The sequence below is a fragment of the Homo sapiens genome, chromosome 18, assembly GCF_000001405.40.
Source record: "Homo sapiens chromosome 18, GRCh38.p14 Primary Assembly".
Lineage (NCBI taxonomy): Eukaryota > Metazoa > Chordata > Mammalia > Primates > Hominidae > Homo > Homo sapiens.
Genome location: NC_000018.10, coordinates 80,134,178 through 80,152,820, shown reverse-complemented (window position 1 = coordinate 80,152,820; position 18,643 = coordinate 80,134,178). Strand labels below are relative to the sequence as shown.

The following is an 18,643-nucleotide window of genomic DNA, read 5'->3' as shown; positions in this document are numbered from 1 at the left end:
TCTAAGCAGAAATCTTACAGTCATCCTTACTAGTAACCATTTTTTTATTTGTATAAATCCGTGGGGTACTAGTTTTGGATACCCTATTCAGCATGCATACACTAACGATAGCTGATGATCTTAAAAAAAAAAAAAAAAAAAAGGTCCGTGCATAATTGGATATATGCACACAACGTGTGCTGGTCAAGTGAGGGCTTTTAGGGTATCATCACCCAAATAATATACATTGTACTCCTTAAGTTCTCATCACCCACCCACCTCCTACCCTCTCACCCTTCCAAGTCTCCAATGTCTGTCATTCCACTCTCTACATCCATGTGCACACATTTTTTAGCTACCACTCATGAGTGAGAACACATGATCTTTGTCTTTTGGGATCTGACCTGTTTAAGATACCGACCTCCAATCTATGCATGTTGTCACTAAAGACATTTTTATTCTTTCTTAGGACTGGATAGTATTCCACTGTGTATATATTTATCCCACATTTTCTTTATCCAGTCATCCCCTGATGGACACTCAGGCTAATTTCTCTATCATTGCTATTGTGAATAGTACTGCGATAAACATAAGAGTGCATGTATCTTTTTGATATATTGATTTCTTTTCCTTTAGGTAGATACACAGTAGGAAGATTGCTGATCAAATGGTAGTTCTATTTTTAGTTCTTTGAGAAATCTCCACAGTTTTCCATACAGGTTGTACTAATTTACATTCCCACAGTGTATAAGAGTTCCCTTTTCTCTGCATCCTTGCCGACATCTGTTTTGGGACTTTTTAAATAACAGCCATTCTAACTAGGGTAGGATGAGATATCTTGTGGTTTAATTTGCATTTCTCTGATGATTAGTGATGTTGAGCATTTTCACATATACCTGTTGGCCATATGTATGTCTTCTTTGGAAAAATGTCTATTCATGTCCTTTGCCCACTTTTTAATAAGGTTATCATGAAAATTATGCATGGACTTTTTTTTTTTTTTTTTTTTAGCTCATCAGCTATTATTAGTGTTAGTGTATTTTATGTGTGGCCCAAGACAATTCTTCTTCCACTGTGGCCCAGAGAAGCCAAAAAAGTTGGACACTGTAGCATGAGTGTTTTGCACACTTAGAAACATGCATCACCTGCACCCTTTTGTCCAGACAATTTCTGGACAATTCGTACAAATGATGTGACTTACAACGAACCCCCGATTTTCTTCCGGGGTTCTGTAGCCTCCTGTGTGCCTATGGGACCAATCCCCCAAACCACACGCAGGAGTCAGGCTCAGGCAAGCATCCTGGTGGACAGCACCTCACACATCATCACAGCTCACTGCTGGAGGAGTCAGGAACATCCCTCCTGACTGCCCTAGGAGAGGGTGCTCACAACTCACACAGGCTTCCTGCAGCCTTTGCCTTGTGCCTTTTCCCCTTACAGTGTCCCCTTAGGAAGACTGTAGCCATGAGCAGAATGACTTCTGAGGCCTGTGAGTTCTTTCTGAAACTCACTAAACCTGAGGGTGGTCTTGGAGATGATCTTTCTCTCTCTCTCACATACAAACATACATGTGCACACACGCATTTACATCTCTATTGATTCTTCCTTTCCTTGTTTGTAAGAAACCTGCTCCCATTATCCTTAATATACTCATGTGCTGATCAGTCCCCTGAATGTAACCACCAACCTCCCGTCACCACCACCACCCTCTTCCCCACACAGGTGCCCTCCCCCATCTCCAGGCCCGATGCCCCTTCACAGCTACCTCTCAGCCTCCCAGCCCCACTCACACTGACAGGGGCCATTCTCACCTTCCCCAGGGGACCCTTCCTCACCACCCTGCTTGGCTCCACAGCCAACTCCAAGCCCCACCAGTTCTTCCTCTGCCAGTTGGAGCCCTCTTCGCTCTGCCTCAGTTTAGGGCTGAGAGGGAAGGAAGAGGATGAGGAGAGGAGAAAGGACGGCTTCTGAAGCTTCTGCACCTGTACTGCTGCACTGTCTTACCACATTTATTTATTTACTAGAATTATTTCAAGAACCTTTAAACTTACCAGACTCTGATCCCAGGTCCTGAACTTAACCCTGAAGTCTAATTCTGTGCCCCTAAACTCTTCAATGCTCCTCAAATGAGCTGTGCCTCTCATATGTCTATGTCTCAAAGGTATTTTGTGCTGTTGCTTGGCCTGAAAGGGACTGCTCTGCACTTCCCCTGCAGCTTCCCTTCACACTTGAGGTCGGCTGTGCTGCCTCCCTCTGTGAAGCCTTCTCTGCTCCTCCTGGAACATCTGCCTTCCCCCTTGCTCCTGTGTATTGATGGAGCACAGGATCATGGCTTTAGAGCTGGGAGCTCTTTGAGGGGTAACTCCATTTCATTCATGTTTTGTCCCCAGCATTGGGCAGGATCTGATGGACATATAGAGACTAAGCCACTGATGGTATCAGAACTAGTTTCAGGAAAGAGGAAGGAGAAATGATGGCTCACCATCCCATCTCTGCAGGCATAATGGCGGTCACTGGTCAGCCATGGGACCAAGGTAATCAGAAAACTCTATTAAAACTTGCTACATGTGGTGTTAAGGCTTTTTTCTTCAACAATTATTAAATATGAGTCTACACACAGGAAAAATAATACTTGTTTGCTCTCTCCTGGCCCCTTGCCTGCCCCAAAGCAGTCTCCTCACCTCAGGGTGCTGGTGCAGGGCAGCATCACCTCAGTGAACCACTCCTGTGGAGTACACACCCCAACACTTTCTGCTTAGCAAATGCAAGTGGTAGAGAAGAAAAAGCAAACTTCAAGAACATTGTTATGAGGCCAGAGGGGAGGAGTTGTCCCTGTCCCACACACTTTTTGTTAATTCCTTGCCCTTATGTTTCAAAAGTAACAAAAACATTAATTGCCTAGAACTTTGCTGTTGCAGTGATCAACAACCAATCAGATGACCCACTTTTTTTGAACTTTGATACTTGCACAATCTAGCAGCACCTAATTTCAACAATGACAGCAACAACTTTATATACAATAAATTGGGTAAATAGGGTTAATCCCTTTTTCCAACTGGTAGCACTGTTAAATGGGACACCACTTATATTTTTAGAGGACTAAATGCACATTCATTTTAGAAAATTTTTAAAATATAAAAACACAACAAAATCACTCCTAGTCTCACCACCCACATAAATACTTCATACTTGGGTCCTCCTGGCACCCCATTCATTCCAAATATTAATTAAAAGCAAATCAGTACTCACTTCTGGGTGTAAGCACTCTAGAAATATATTTTGGGCTCTTAGTTGACCTGTTTACCGAGATTTCTGGGCACAATCATTCTTTTGCACACATACACTGTCCTGTTTACCTATGATTTGAAAACGCCTTATGACCATAATATGTGTAACAATAAATCATTTTGGAGGTCTGTGTTTGAATGGACCTTAAAAGATTGCATGGTTTGATACCGTCTGCTGACCACACCCAGGGAGCATTAATTTCTCACCATGAATGAGACTGGTTTACAGTTGAAAACAGAAATGACTAGAGTGTTCCAATGGGAGGGAGAGGGCAATAAGGTCTGAGTGACAAGCAAGCGTGGATATGAAATTTAATATCCAGAAGAAAAGCACAGAATAAAAAGTCCCAGGCACAAGGCAACAAGCCTTTCCAGGTAAGACGAGACCTGTGCTGATGGGACCTCAGAAGCGCTTAAAGAACGAGACTGACACTGCGCCTGGAGACAAACGGAGCTGGTGCAGCGGGAGCAGAAGTCTCAGCTCTCACCTGGCACCTCAGGAGAGGCACAGCAGCCATCACGGGGTCCCGGCAACCCTGAGCCAGGAGGGGCTGGCTCTTCTGTCCTCTGTCCTGGGGGCCCAGAGGCCTTGAGCTGGGGGAGGGAGAGGTTCGCGCTGCCATGGCTTGGATGGGCTTAGAGATGTAAACTTGGAGTGAGTCTGAAATAATGTACTTGTGAACGCAGGCATGGCTGAAGGCCGCGTGCTCCAGAACCACTGGCGTCCTCTTACCCGAAATTCAGTCCCCACCCTTTCCGACCTCTTTCAGCAGCAGTTCCCCATTCCGGAGCCACCGCGCGATTCTGAAATCACTTCTGCAGCAGCTTTCAAACTGGATCTCGTAATTCATTTGGGCTTCAAGACTGCATCTACTTTGAAATGATCTCATTTTTTAACTCTCCTTACCTTTCTTTAATTTTCTACCCTTCCCAGATTGAAGAACATTGCTGGAGAATGTGAAAGTCAAATACGAGTTGAATCACTGCCTGGTTTCTGTCACCTGTGGAAATCACAGCCACGTTTCACCCCCGGAGTGAGGGCAGCGCCCGCGCAGCTCAGCTTCTCCCATCTGGGATCGCTGGGGAGTTCTGTGGGGAGCACCGAGTCTCCTCAGGGGCATCCCCTTTCCTTTCTAGGAGAGTTGTTATCACACGGTTAAACATTTTATAGCATGTTCGTCTCCGTCCTGAGGTAGCAGATGCTAGGAACGGAGTCCGGATCCCCAGCCTAATCTGCCTCTCCCAGCAATGGCCTCGCGTCCTGAGAAAAGCCCTTTACCCTGAGGCCACAAGTACTCACCCTGAGGAGACGCGGCCTGATGCAGTCCAGTACAGGACTCGGAACGATGCAAGGCAGGTGAGCCCCTAAACTGGAGCTCAGCCTCGGAGGGCTCATGGCTTTGCCCAGATTTCTTCCCCGCTGCCCGTGGGCGGCAGCTTCTAGTCCCGCTGAAGCACAGGAGCAGCCACAGTGACCCGCAAGGCAGTGCGCCCAGGGCAGCAGCTGAGGACAGGACAGGGCTGCACTCACATTTATAGCCACTGTTAATTATATGCAAACCGACAGATTATGCAGAGATTTCTGGAATAAGGGTAGTAACTTTCGGCCATCAGGGTGTTGCCATGGAAAGGGGGCGGCAACTTCCGGGTGTTGCCATGGCAATGGTAAACTGACAGGGCAAGAGCGGGCGGGTCTTACTGAAAGCTGCTTCCCCCGTCCCGCCTCTACCTCAATAGCGGAATCAAAAGATGAGCACCCCCTCAAGTGCCAAACGTGCAAGATACATAATCTTAGAAACAATATTCTGTTGAAACATCAAAAGCATCACGCATTTCTCACTGAAACTCGCCTTGTTGAAAGAAGCCTCATCCGCCGTCCAGCCACAGCGCAGTCCTGGCCGCTCTCCTCCCTCGGCTGCCTCGTCCTAGGGAGGCAGAGATGCGTTCGGAGGCGGCGGCCCCTGCCCAGGGCGGACGTCCAGGGGGCCCGGGCCGAGCTGCGGCCGTGAGCTCGGGGGTGGCCAAGGCCGCGTGGCTGCTGGCTGCGCTGCCATTGTAGACGTTTCCAGCACGCTTTAAAACGCACGCACACAGCGCAGGGCTCCACTCTTCCTGTCGGGCTTCACAAATGACACGAACGAAACACAAAACCCACCAGGTTTATCGAGTTGAATTAATGATTACTTAGCAACTTATACCAACTAAGAAACAAGCCTTCTATAGGATACCGTTTTGCTATTGAAATTATCAAGTTGGCCAGGCACAGTGCCTCACACGCGTGTAGTCCCAGCACTTTGAAAGGCCGAGCCCGGAGAAGCGCTTGAGCCCCAGAGGCGGAGGCTACGGTGAGCCGAGATCACACACACCACTGCACTCCAGCCTGGGCGACAGAGTGAGACCCTGTCTCAAGAAAAAAATTTAATGAAATTATCAAGTTAATAACCAATGCTATCCTTTGCAGAGTTCTTAAAAACTGTTAAAGATTCTATTCATAAATGCACAAACTTAGTTAATCCTATTTATTACAAATCAAAGCTTTAGACAGGAGTCTTGAAGACTTTCTAACTAGAATTAGAATTGATGAGTTTTGGGGGATGTTAGATAAGGTATGTTTGGTTTATATCTCTAATACTGCTGTAATTTAAACACTAAGATGTAGCAATGAAGTTGCCAAGATACTTGTATTTTTAATTGGTCTATTCAAATATCCAGATGCCAGCTGAATTCACAGCAGAAAAAAAGCTATTTGATTTACTATATTTTCATTTTGGGTTATGATTGTGTCCATTAGCGCCTGGCAAGTAAATATTAGAATTTAAATATCTAGGGCAGTTCAGGCTTTTGGTCAATAGCAATGTAACACCAACTCATAGGAGCTGTAGAGAAAATGGACAAAATCAACAGAAAGGGCTTGGAAGCAATCTAAACAGACTCAAGCCAGCCATACCCCCAAGAGCCCACAGTGATGACAGATTAATCCACCTGAACTCTTCTGGTCCAGCGTTAATGACTGATTTCAACAAATTTTAGAAACCTATATATATGAAAGTAGTAATGAAGATCACATTTTACCCAAAATGATGTAGAGTCAGAGTAACATGCTTTAATCTCACCCTTTATTCTTAGGTTTTAGATTTGTGGTACTCCCCTAATCTCGTAAACGAAAGGGTACTGCACACCTCTGCTAAGGCCACTGAAACAAAGCAGACACACAGGGTCAACTTGAAAGATTCAAATGAACTCAATACAAATAAAATCATAAGGGACATAACCAGCTCAGCAGTTACTTCACTGTGTTCAACAGCTGAAGCACCTCATCGTGTAATTTTATCAGACTGCAAGTTGCCCTTTATATTTCATTAGCATCTTTCAACTACTGGAAATGTTATCTAAAGTCAATATAAACTTTAATAGGAGATAAATGTATGTGGTAATATAACCAGGGAAATTTGGTCCAAGATACTTTACTGCTTTAGGAAGAAAGGTCTGCAGTATTAGCCCTATGGTAAAATATTTATACTATTGCTCATGGAGTAGGTATACTCTATAATCTTAAATTATATGCACAAACATTTTAACAGTGAGAAAACACTGTTAGAAGCATATAACATTGCCAAATGTAGGTGGCAGCTTAACCTTTAAGTTAATGGATGGTAGATTTTAAATAAAAGCAATCATTCTGGCACGTTCTTCCTGGTGATCTCTTCTGCACATCACTTCTCCGGAGGGCTACCACAGGCAGAAAGACCTTGTTACAGAGAGACGTAAAGAGAGCAAACTTATCAAGACAGTTATGCTAATCTCCGAAGTCTGAGTTCAAATGATCTGGACTTTGTATTAGAAAGCAAAAAGACATCTAGTCCCGCTCAGGAATACGCTGTTTTCTGAACTCTGAATCTGCCTGTTCAGTCTTTGCCTGCAGCCACCATGACAACCCTTCAGGAGAGCAGGGTGTGGCATCAATGAATTTGCAGATCACTGCAGGTAAGCAGCTTGCTAATTAACTGTTCAGGAAATGGCAAAGATCCAGTCCCCACTTCTAGCACATGGAAAATAAACATGATTATACTGAAAACACCTTTAAGAAACACAGAAGGAATCATCCTACTGCTCCCACCCCCACTTTTTGTAAACGGAAAAGCAGGCCAAGGGAGCAAGAACTTGGCATGGGTTCTCAGATGTAGAAGCTTATGTAGTCATAGTCAGAACTTCTTTAGTGTTGAGAAATTAGATTCAGGATATTGTTAAATTATACCAAGTCCTTCAGACATTATGGATAAGTATTTTGACCCTGGAAACTAGAAGTTTAATTTAGACAAAACCATGTGCATTCTAAAAATGTTTTTAAGGATTTCTAAGTAGGACTCAAATAGGTAAGAACTGATAGACATGGTGATGTCCCTAGACAGTCTAACTTTATTACTAAACAGATTTCATACTGAACTTTGTTTTTCATAAGATACTGAACTGAAACCATGTTTAGCATTTTAGTAGCAACACATCTATTTTTAGTATCTCAACTTTTACCCTAATTTATCAAACCAGTTAAACACGGAATATTATATCAAAGCAAAAAAACAAAAACAAAAAACCGATGCTACAAATAGCTAGGAAATGGCTAGAAAATGTACAGCACTGGGAGTTGATACAGATGTATTCTGCTCACTTCTCAATTAGGAGCTTATTAGACAAAGATGATCACTACTATCACCTATGAATAAAAAATGAAGTCAGAAGTGAAGTCGTTTGTGACTAGGAAATGGGGGTACAGAGAACCACTGTAAATACAATGTGCAGTTCTGGGATGAGGTTATCAATTTTCTAACAACATGTGAGACATAACCAGAAGAGTGGCAGCCTTAGAACCAACACAATTAGACACCCAAGCTGCTTCATCCCAAAGGGGTCGTGGGGCTGGAAATGGGAGCAGGGGACAGAGCAGGGCAACAGAGCAGGGCTGAACTTGGAATTCCCAAGTGCATTCCAAAAATCCTTGCCCTCCCCTTCAATTCTGTCCTCTCCTTTCGTGTAGTCTTACTGATATATTTAATCATTTGAAAGCACATATAAAACCTAGAAAAATGTTTTAATAGCCAAAAATGACCTTCCCTAAAAAATTCCTAATCTCTTTAAAATGACCTCTTATAAATTCCCAGTTATTTTCATAAGCTGTTTTCCACAATATAATAACAAACGGTGGATGAATCTCCCATCCTTTTTAGGACCAAAGATCACTTTCCTTGTTGTAATGAGACGTCTAATCTGGGCCTACACAGGGACTCTTTCAAGCATTTGTAGCTTATAAGAGTCCAAATTTGGGATCCTAATTATATATATGTGATGCTTGGAGTTTGAATTGTTTTTATTTTCAGCAAACTGTCTTGTGTGGTTTTTCCATATATTCAGTCTTCCCATTCTAAACAAGCTGCTTGGTAGGAGGCCAGGAAGTCCAACGAGTGAATGGATCTGTGACTCTCACAGGATGTTTTTATGAATTTTATGACTCTTTCGAGATACACATACATCTAACACAGAAAGATTACTGTCAGAAGAACCACTGAACCACTAAAGCCTTATGATTCATTGCTAATGTTCTATTTTTTCTAGTGCACTTTTAGGTGAATGACAAATTATTTAACATTAAACTTTCCATATCATGGGTTCAAAACTGTAGGAAACTACACAATTTCTGGAAAAAAAATACATTGATTCATTGCAATTAATTCTGTATTTGTATTTGAAAGTATGACCTCACAGCTTAGTTTGCATACAGCAAACATAGACGTCTATGTGGCTGCCAAAGTTTAGTTTACACTTTAAATATCTTAAATTCTTATCGGAAAGTTCCCTTCTGAAAAGGACTTTATGTATTTTCTTTTTTAAAAGAAATAATGTTTAGTTCAGAGATGAGCATGCAAAAAAAAAGAAATCATGTTGCTGGTGATGAGCAAAATGAAGATAAGTGGGTCTGGAGCACCCTCTTTAAAAGGCCATGAAGAACAACACTAGCTACTGTTTAGCAACCTTACATATATTTTTCCTCTCAAAATGCACAGCTGAATCATTTGCGTGAATGACTGGTATTAGTATTTGTTTTGAACTGGACACCATGATGGGCCTAAAGATCCCTTTCAGACACCACAGGCTCTGGCGTTTCATCTACTTTATAAGGTGGTCTCCTAGACAGCAGTCCCCATATAAGCATAGGTCTTTGAGGTTGGTAGTTAAGTACATTCTCATTTTAACTCTCTATTATGAAAAATCTGATAATATTCTAGACTTTAACATTTTTCCAACCTTCTAGGTCACATATTTACACTTTTTACCCAAGGGAGTTCATGGATCATAAATTAAGAAACTCCTGAGTTTAGGATCTGAAGAAAGTGAAGGGCTGGGTACTGTTCTAAGTAATGTATTTTTAGGCACATTCACAAAATATGAAAACAGCTTCCCTACATAACCTCTATATTGCTAAAATGACATTTAAACTTGCAGTTAATATTAAAGACTTAGTACTTAGGACAAATGATCAAAAATCAGAATTCTAAAGCTGTGGTGTAGCATCTGCACAACAGAAAGCCGAACTTGCAGAAGCCTGAGTTAGCAGGTGTGCTACCAAGTAAGCCCTCATCATCAGAAACATCTCACACTTACTTTCACCACCTATGAAAAGAAATTAGCTTGAAGAAACTGGACACTTAATAACCATAAGAGAAACTTCCAGCAGTACTTCATAGATGGCAATTTTGTTGCTTAGTTCATGAAAATTCAGCAGAGAGAATCTAAACAGCAAAACTGCATGCATTTTTTTATCGTTGTTTTCACTAACTCAGGACTATCATTCTTCGTCACTAATATATTGTCACTATCAAATTTAACATGCAAAATGTTTAGAATGGCACCTGGCACATAGGAACTGCTCTGGTAACCATCTCTATGTTGTTATTGTTGACAGCACCACCAGAAAAAGGATGTCTAGGATCAGGATGCCCTATTCACCCTGATACCCAAAGGGCAATGTACAGGTCTAACGATAATATTGTACCACTGAGAAGCAACATGTCTTCCTGGGCAAACTGAAATTTGAGTGGAGTAACGAGCTTGTCCCTCTGCCTAAGAGGTTCCTTTTTAGCACTGAAGTCTAGAGAAATCACTCAAGTTCTTAGCAAACTGGGACAGCTAGCCAACTCTGCCTCTGAGCTTGTTTCTTCCTCTAGAAAACACAGACAACTTAATACCTATAGGGTTATTGTGAGATTTAAATGGGATAATACATGTTAGAAGCCACTCAGCTATCACTCTAGCACTGTCCACCCTCACAGGCCTCCACCTCAGGCAAGTCATTTACCTCCATGCCTCAATTTCCTCAGGTGTGAGAGGGGAGACTACCACTCACTCGGTAGGACTCAATGTGAGAACGCATGCTGATGGCCATGCCACAGGCACAGGAGGCAGCAAGGATGACTATCATCAAGTATGCAGCCCCTTTCCTAGCAATATCAAGCAGTTAGTACATGTGTGCTATTTTCTAAAAAGACCTTGAAAATTAGGACAGTTCTGGGGCTAAGTTTTCTTAATTAGTGCTTAATTAACTGCTGCTTTGTTTAGTGAATCTAAGAAACTGCACACAACAGTCATCAGACTAAAATAGCTGCTAAAAAAGGGTAACAGAGGCCCAGCCTGGTGGCTCATGCCTGTAATCCCAGCACTTTGGGAGGCTGAGGGGTGGCAGCATGGCTTGAGGCCAAGAGTTCAAGCCCAGCCTGGGCAACACAGCAAAACTCCATCACTACAAAAACTGTTTAAAATAATCTGGGCATGATGGGTAGGCACCTCAGCTACTTAGAAGGCTGAGGCAGGAGGACAACTTGAGCCCAGGAGTTCGAGACTGCAGTGAGCTATGATCACACCACTGTATCCCAGCATGGGCACCAGTGCAAGATTCTGTTTACAATAAAAAATTTTAGGCCAGGCATGGTGGCTCATGCCTGTAATCCCAACACTTTGGGAGGCCTAGGCGGGCATATCACCTGAGGTCAGGAGTTAAAGACCAGCCTGGCCAACACGGTGAAACCCCATCTACAATAATTAGCCAGGCGTGGTGGCATGCACCTATAATCCCAGCTACTCGCGAGGCTAAGGTGGAAGAATCGCTTGAACCCAGGAGGCAGAAGTTGCAGTGAACCGAGATTGTGCCACTGCACTCCAGCCTGGGAAAAAGAGCGAGACTCCGTCTCAAAAAAAAAAAAGAAGAGCAACAAAATTCAGAGAAGCTAAAATAGTATGCTATATTTAAATGTGTTTTACCTGAATAGATTTCAAGTGTGTAGTATTTTTAAAGCTGCTGCTACATAGGTAGATTAAATATTTTAAAGTACACAATTTTTTGTATTTAAAAAACTCCTTCCTTCTAAATTTAATAAGTTTAAACTTTGTTCACAACTATTAATCTGTTACTCATTTTTTCATTTTCAAATAATAAATTTCTTACATTTGCAAGAACTCCCACATGTGCTTTTTGAAGCTCAGCTTCTATCAAATCTTAATCTCTAATCCTAAAAAACTAGTAACCAGCAACTAGCATAACATTAAAGACAGCATGAACAGTTCTACCACAGCTAAACTGCACCAAGAAATCAGCTCTTTTACCAGGGTTCTGACAAGATTCTGCCCCTCAGGGACCACCTGGTAATGACATTTTTGGTGGCCACAATGGGGAGAGAGTAGGGACATGCGTGCTACTAGTGTCTAACGACACTGCTCAACATCCTACAGTGACAGAATAGCCACCCACCACAGAGAATTACCTGACCCAAAATGTCAGCAGTGCTGAGGCTGGGAAACCCTAACGTACACAACAAAAGGAAGGTGAGGATTCAACCACGCCAGACGGCAGCTGCCTCCTCATCAGCACCTCCTCCACACTCACCCTGAACACAGCCACAGTGAAGGAAACTTCACAGCACTGACACCCCAGTTACATACCTTCTTTGGCACTTTGGGGGCTACCAGTATAGAATCATCAGGAATCTGTAGTTACACCTATTTTGTGACCCCAGTAATTAGACCTTTTGGGTTATGTTCTTATTTTCACACAAATGACAGGTAAGGTTTTTTTAGAAAATAAATGTGGTATCTATTCCCATATAGAGGTTATCCCTATGATTCACAATAATGTTTTAACTTTTAAAAGAATTAAACAGTTCTATTTGCAGCGGTGTAACAAATTTTAATTCAAAATAGACACTCTGAAAACAATAGGTAAAAAAAAAAAATGTTCAACAAGCTCTCTTTGAATTTACAACAGAGTACACCAACAATCATAAACCAGTTTCACAACTGCCTCAAATATGAACATTATAGCAATTACATGCAAGTATTATATTTTTTAAAATCCACATAGTAACATTATGTTTCTCAGAGGCTGTCACATCCTCCAAATATTTCTACCTAAAGATAGAGTGAAGGGGTTCCTCTGCTGTGTACCACCAGAAATATGACTTACCATCTAAACTGGCTGGTCTCCATGACTGGTTCTGGTGCTTTAAGTTTTAATATCGTGTGGGGAAAAAAACGAGGTTTAACATCCACAGGACAGTGACGACAATGGAGATTCTTTAACAATATGCCATCCCATCGACCCGGACACAGCTTCCAGCCTAAACCAGCTAGAGAAAAGCCCGTTTCTCCACTAAACATGACCTTCAGAAAATGTGGTCAAAGACTTACTGTACCAACCATGGAGACTGAGATCTCAGTCTGTAAACTTCGCCATGTCCCCTGAAACCCTATGCTGAAATTTAAGTTAGTTTTCACACTCAGGGGCAATAATCTTATTCCTGAGTATCATAGACCTTCCCTTTCACTAGTTTATGAGTAGTTAAGTTAGGAGAAGAGTTTTGGGGTGTATTCTTTCAATGTTTATTCTAAAGGCACTAAAAATTTATTGTTTTACCTCTGAACGGAGAAATGACTTAGCATATCAAAAGGGAAAATCTACACTGAAAAATATTTCTGCATCTACAGAATAAATTTATTTGTAAAATAACTCTTGATGTATGAGCTACATACCAGCATACCAGATGTCAAATTCAGTCTACTTTTAACAAATAAAAACATTTGATTTTCTATGAGTTATGGTTAAAAAAAAAAACAGCTATTAGGATAAACCTAAAAAAATACAGATCTAAATTATAATCTATAAGCAAAGATCTTACAAAGAAGTCAGCGTAAGTTAATGCAGTGCATCCTCAGGGAGCCTTATACATACATCACAGGGTTTGTACCCACGTCTCTGAACACTCACTGTACCATCTGCTGCTACAGGGAAAGCTGAAGGAGATCGATGCTTCCACTCGCAGTTAAATCAAGTATTCTGAAAAAGGCTGAAATGTCCTTAATGAAAAAGCAAATTATTTATAGATTTCAGTTTCTTATCATACGATACTGACACTAGTGGGAAAACAAGGCGTGCATGAAATATCAAAAGATTTCATTTACATGACAGAGAAAAAAACCTGAAAACAACTGTTCTGTTACAAATCAAACTGCAGGAAACAATAGATGTGAAATAACTACTGGCTTCCTGGTAACAGGGGTCTCTCCAGCACCTGAAGTAACTCTGCAGAGCAGCACAGTGACCACTGAGGTTGATTCACCAACACAGTGAGGACAACACTGTGAAATTTCAACTGAAAAAAATCTACCTACTACTTTAGAGTTACTTTTTTTTTTTTTTGCAAGTTTTATGGTTCATATTCAAAGTTCAATCTATGTTTCACATTTTTAAGTTCAGACATATCAAAGCCTAAAAGTACAGAAGGCTTGTGATTTTTTATTGCTTTCATGCAAATATACCTTCTTTTTCCAAAAAATGAAGCCACATCAATTTTCCACACCCAAAAGAGTGAGGACAACAGTTCTATTTCCTTTTTACTAGGATATGGTTTCTTATGGAAATAATCTTTAAGAAATTGCTTCTTTTCTTCATAAGAACGGCCTTCATATTTTTTAGGATCTAATGCTAAAATCTGAAGAGCCTCGTCCTTGACAATAGGTCCCTCTGTTCTGCTTTCATTCCTTTGTCTTTTAAAAGGCACAACACTCGTCACCTTTTCTGGACCCGGGGCTGCATCGGCATTTAGGATGGGAGGCTGCTCCTCCCCATGCCGCTGGTCTTCGGCCCCTAAGTGGCCGTCAGGCAGCTTTCTCTTAACAGAAAAACTGGAATCATGCATCACTTCACCACTGACTAAAAGCAGTTCACTGTTGTGAATAAAACCCGGCTGGGCCTGCAGGTCTGAGCTGCTGTCCTTGGGAGCACTTCTGCAGCGCACCAAATGGACGGCGATGGCAGCCAGGGTCATATTTCCCGTGTAGACCCCACAGCAGTGGATGCACTTGAAGGCGGGAGACTTCAGGACCGTGTGGACTGTGGGCATGATGTGGTGCCTCTCCTTCAAATGCAGCTCATAGGCCTCAGTTGTCACAAAGGGGCCAAAGCAAAAGGGGCAGGTGGACACTCGCTTGCCGGTGCTCCCGGGGGTGCCCTCAGCCTGAGGCCTCACCTTCACATACACAGGCACCAGTGACTTGGAGTGTATCCCAGCCAGGATTGCCAAGTAGACTTCCCGCTCCCCAAGCTTCTCCTTTGGCAATATGGTGATGAAATCAAGGTGGGGAAAGAGCAGGTTGCCATTGGCATCGACATCTAATTGAAAACCTCTGTTGCTATAATCCATAGGCAACTTCTTCTTCCCCAGGTGCCTATTCCTGCTGTGCTCTGAAAGACCTTTGATATCATGGAAGGTGCATGGACAGAACAAGCACCCCAAGCCATGCATCAGCAAGTGGTGTATAAGCTCTTCCTCAGAGACCAAGCACTTACAAGACAGACATCGCACCGTTTTCTCTCTCATCCACTTTAGAAATGGTGCACACGCTGCCAGTTTTTCAGGCTCAAGTTTCTCACCAGACTTGGACTCGCTGTGCTTATGCGCTACCTCCATGTGGACCTGGTAGACGTTGGACGGAAAGAGCTCGTTGCAGACAGGGCAGGTCTTCCACTGCTTGGCCTGTTTGAGCACCTGGTTTGTGTCTGCTGCAGAGGAGGAGGCCTGAACAAACACGCTCTGAGCAGCATTCACCAGCACTGGAGGAGAGGGCATGCCGGGCATGGAACCGGCCATTGGTGCAGCTGCACCTGACGGCAGGAGCTGGATGGGCATCTGGGGCGGAGCGACAGTCGCAAGGCCTCCAGGGGGAACCGGCAGAGTGACAGACACGGGGGCCAGCGTGTAGGTTGGAATCCCATTCACTTGTTTCCCTGTAGGGATGAGCTGTCTGAGAATAGAGCCTGATGTCAGGAAGGTGGTGTTCTGCGAAGCACCAGGTCTCACTGGCTGATTCACAGGCAGAATGTTGGTGCCCACAGTCTGGTTGAGTTGCAAGACCCCAGGCCTCACTGGCTGGCCCACAGGAAGAACTCCCGACACAACAGGCTGACTAAGCTGCAGAACACCAGAATTCACACCCTGGTTTACAGGCACAACAGCTGAGGAGGAGACTGTCTGGTTGGGAGAAAGAAGCCCAGACGGGACCACCTGGCCTGCAGAGATAACCCTCAATGGGGCTGTCTGGCCTGGGGGAAGAACCCGTGACGGAGCTGTCTGGCCCACAGGGAGAACTCCTGACTGGACCATCTGGCCAGTAGGAAGAACCCCAGAAGTTGCTGTTTGCCCAGGGATAACCCCTGCAGGAGTCATCTGGCCTGCAGGAGTCATCTGGCCTGCAGGAAGGACTCCAGACGGGACCGCCCGACTCACAGAAAGCACCCCTGGCGAGACAGCCTGCAGGACCCCAGGGGTGACAGAGGGGCTCACAGGAAGAACACCAGGCCCAACAGGTCTGTTTATGGGTCCCACAGGCTGGGTGAGGGGTAAAACCCCAGGGCGAACAGTCTGATTTATGGGGAGGACACTAGTTCCAACAGACTTATTGACAGGTCCGACTGGCTGACTCAAGGGCAACACAGGAGGATTCACAGACTGATGAAGTGGAACCCCGTGAGAAAGAAAGACGGGCTGAGGTGCTGGGGGCTGCAGGGTGAGGCTGTTCTGGCCCACAGGCAGAGGGCTGGAGACCAGAGTCATGTGGGATTGGCCAGCAGCAGGGGGGGAATGAGTGAGGCTTCCAGGGGCACCCTGGGCCACAGTCACTGGCTGTCCTGCGGCTGGGCTTGGACTGTTCTGTGGCAAAGCAAGATGGAAGCAAGGAGGCTGCGCTGGAGCGCTTGGAGCACTGCCATTTGCTGGTGCAGCCAAATGTGCTGCTGGTTTTGGAGCAATGTGCGTTTGCTTCAAGAGTCCAGTCCTCTTAATATGTTCTGAAATCACAGATCTAAGCTTATTCTCCAAATCTCTGTGTATGTCTGATGTCAAAATGTGATACATTAACGCATCCTGGCTGCTGGCATTGGCGTTGCACTTTTTACAGTAATATTTGTCAGGTGGTGGGATCTTCTCTATAGAAACAGTATCGTTAGTTTTCGGTTGCTCACCCATTTCCTCAGTTCTTAGGCCAAAGTAGGAGTTAATTAAGTAGTGAAAATGGGCTACCAGCACATGCTTCTTCATGCTGTAGTACAAAGTGTTTGAAAAGTTACATTTTAGACATGTGAAACTTATCACATCGCTCCTAGATGATTTAGTTTCACCTAAAATATTCACTGTGTAGTTCTGGACTTTCCGGACAGGTGCATGGAACATTCTGAAGTGCCTTCCCACAACTTTGGGCTGAGATGCAAATACACAGTTTGGGCAAGGGATCACCAGCTCTTGGTCAATTTCATCTTCATGGTAACGATGTAAATGATTCTTGAATGAAGTAAGCACCTTTGTAGAGTATTTACAGAGGCCACAACAGTATGGCTTTGTTCGATATCTCTGTTAAAAGAAAAGAAAGCCTTAAGCATAATTGAATAAACTGTCAGATGCTAACCTTCCACAGTCCCTGAGGACTTGATCCCTTTTCTTCTAATGTGCTAGGCATTTAACCTGACTTAATGTTTTCTAACCCAGGGGTTGGCAAACTTTTTCTGTGAAGGGCCAGAGAGTGATTATGTTAGGACTGTGGGCCATACAGTACAGTCTCTGTGGCAACTACTCAGCACTGCCATTGTTGTACAAAAGTCCCCAAAATAATTTGTAATTTATGTTCCAATAAAACTTTATTTACAAACACCAATTTGAATTTCATATACTTTCCACATGTCACAAAATAGTATTGTCATTTTTTTCTTAAACATTTAAAAGCCTAACAACCACTCCTAGCTCATGGCTCACGGGCTAATTCATACAAATATAGGATTTGGCTCACAACTCATAGTTTGCTGACCCCTGTTCTAAGTCATCCACTAAAACCACAAATATAATTACTTAGTCCTGTATTCTGAATTATTAATAACAGCATCAATTTTAAAAGCTTCATTAATTTTCTACAAAAGAAAGTTATTTTCTCCCCCTCATCCCATTTCTCTTAATTCCAATGTTGTTTTTGCTCCAAATTCTAAAACCTCTGGAATTTATCCATAACTAACCTAGCTTTCAAAATGTTAAACCCATCATTACTATCTTTCTACTTCCTCTATTTCTAGAGAAGGTAGGAGCCAAATGGACAGTGTTTGGCCCATGCAGGTACCCAATAAACTATCTGATAAAACAGTAAAGAAAGTGAGACTAAGCCTAAACTCACACTATGGATGACCCTAAGATAAGGGTAAGGCCACAGAACGCAACACTGACCATATGGGATTTCTATTTAAAGCACATTTTGGGAAATTTAACAAGTTCGCGGCCTAAAAGCATATTCATACAACAGGATGCAATCTGTTCTAACATCTAGTAAGACTTGCTGGTTTGCAATAACTTGAGAGCACAGTGAAATCTTTGGTCTCATGACAGAGTCTTGAGAACCCAGAGCTGGTGAAACACAAAACACCTGCTCCCCAGTTCCACAAACAAGGAAGCTAAGACCTAGCTTCATCTAAAGCCCCAGAGCTGGCTGTGGTACTACCACAGTGATCAAGGGTTAATTCTCATCCTTTCCTAAATCTGTGTGCTCATTATCACTCTCTCTCACACACACACACACACACACACACACACACACTCTTCCATTCTTCAGTTTTTTGTTTTTTTTGACAGAGTCTCACTCTGTTACTGAGGCTGGAGTGCAGTGGCGTGATCTCAGCTCACTGCAACCTACGCCATCCCGGTTCAAGCGATTCTCCTGCCTCAGCCTCCTGAGTAACTGGAGTTACATTACGAGATATTTTAAGAATTCGGATGAGAAAAATCAATGGGGCTTGCTATTCATGA

The 18,643-nt window shown here is 43.2% G+C and overlaps 1 protein-coding gene and 1 long non-coding RNA gene across 7 annotated transcripts in view, besides 3 other annotated features; both read right to left on the bottom strand.

The window, feature by feature from the left end:
• PARD6G-AS1 (PARD6G antisense RNA 1) overlaps positions 1-4,897 on the bottom strand; it is a 30,509-nt gene extending 25,612 nt beyond the window's left edge. For both annotated transcript variants that reach the window (NR_028340.1, NR_028339.1), the window contains exon 1: positions 4,567-4,897. This is a non-coding gene — a long non-coding RNA (PARD6G antisense RNA 1). The remainder of the gene's footprint in view (positions 1-4,566) is intronic.
• Positions 4,291-4,370: an enhancer, noted in NCBI's record as "active region_13550". NCBI's record gives its function as "activates an Ori minimal core promoter by ATAC-STARR-seq in GM12878 lymphoblastoid cells {active_cell/tissue: GM12878}" and the evidence as "EXISTENCE:reporter gene assay evidence [ECO:0000049][PMID:35858748]".
• Positions 4,391-4,490: an enhancer, noted in NCBI's record as "active region_13549". NCBI's record gives its function as "activates an Ori minimal core promoter by ATAC-STARR-seq in GM12878 lymphoblastoid cells {active_cell/tissue: GM12878}" and the evidence as "EXISTENCE:reporter gene assay evidence [ECO:0000049][PMID:35858748]".
• Positions 5,181-5,340: a silencer, noted in NCBI's record as "silent region_9593". NCBI's record gives its function as "represses an Ori minimal core promoter by ATAC-STARR-seq in GM12878 lymphoblastoid cells {active_cell/tissue: GM12878}" and the evidence as "EXISTENCE:reporter gene assay evidence [ECO:0000049][PMID:35858748]".
• Positions 12,475-18,643, bottom strand: part of ADNP2 (ADNP homeobox 2) — a 31,085-nt gene continuing 24,916 nt past the window's right edge. For all 5 annotated transcript variants that reach the window (NM_014913.4, XM_011525883.3, XM_047437350.1 and 2 more), the window contains one exon: positions 12,475-17,209. In NM_014913.4, the coding sequence (NP_055728.1) occupies positions 14,012-17,209 (3,198 nt within the window). In that variant the 3' untranslated portion in view covers positions 12,475-14,011. The remainder of the gene's footprint in view (positions 17,210-18,643) is intronic.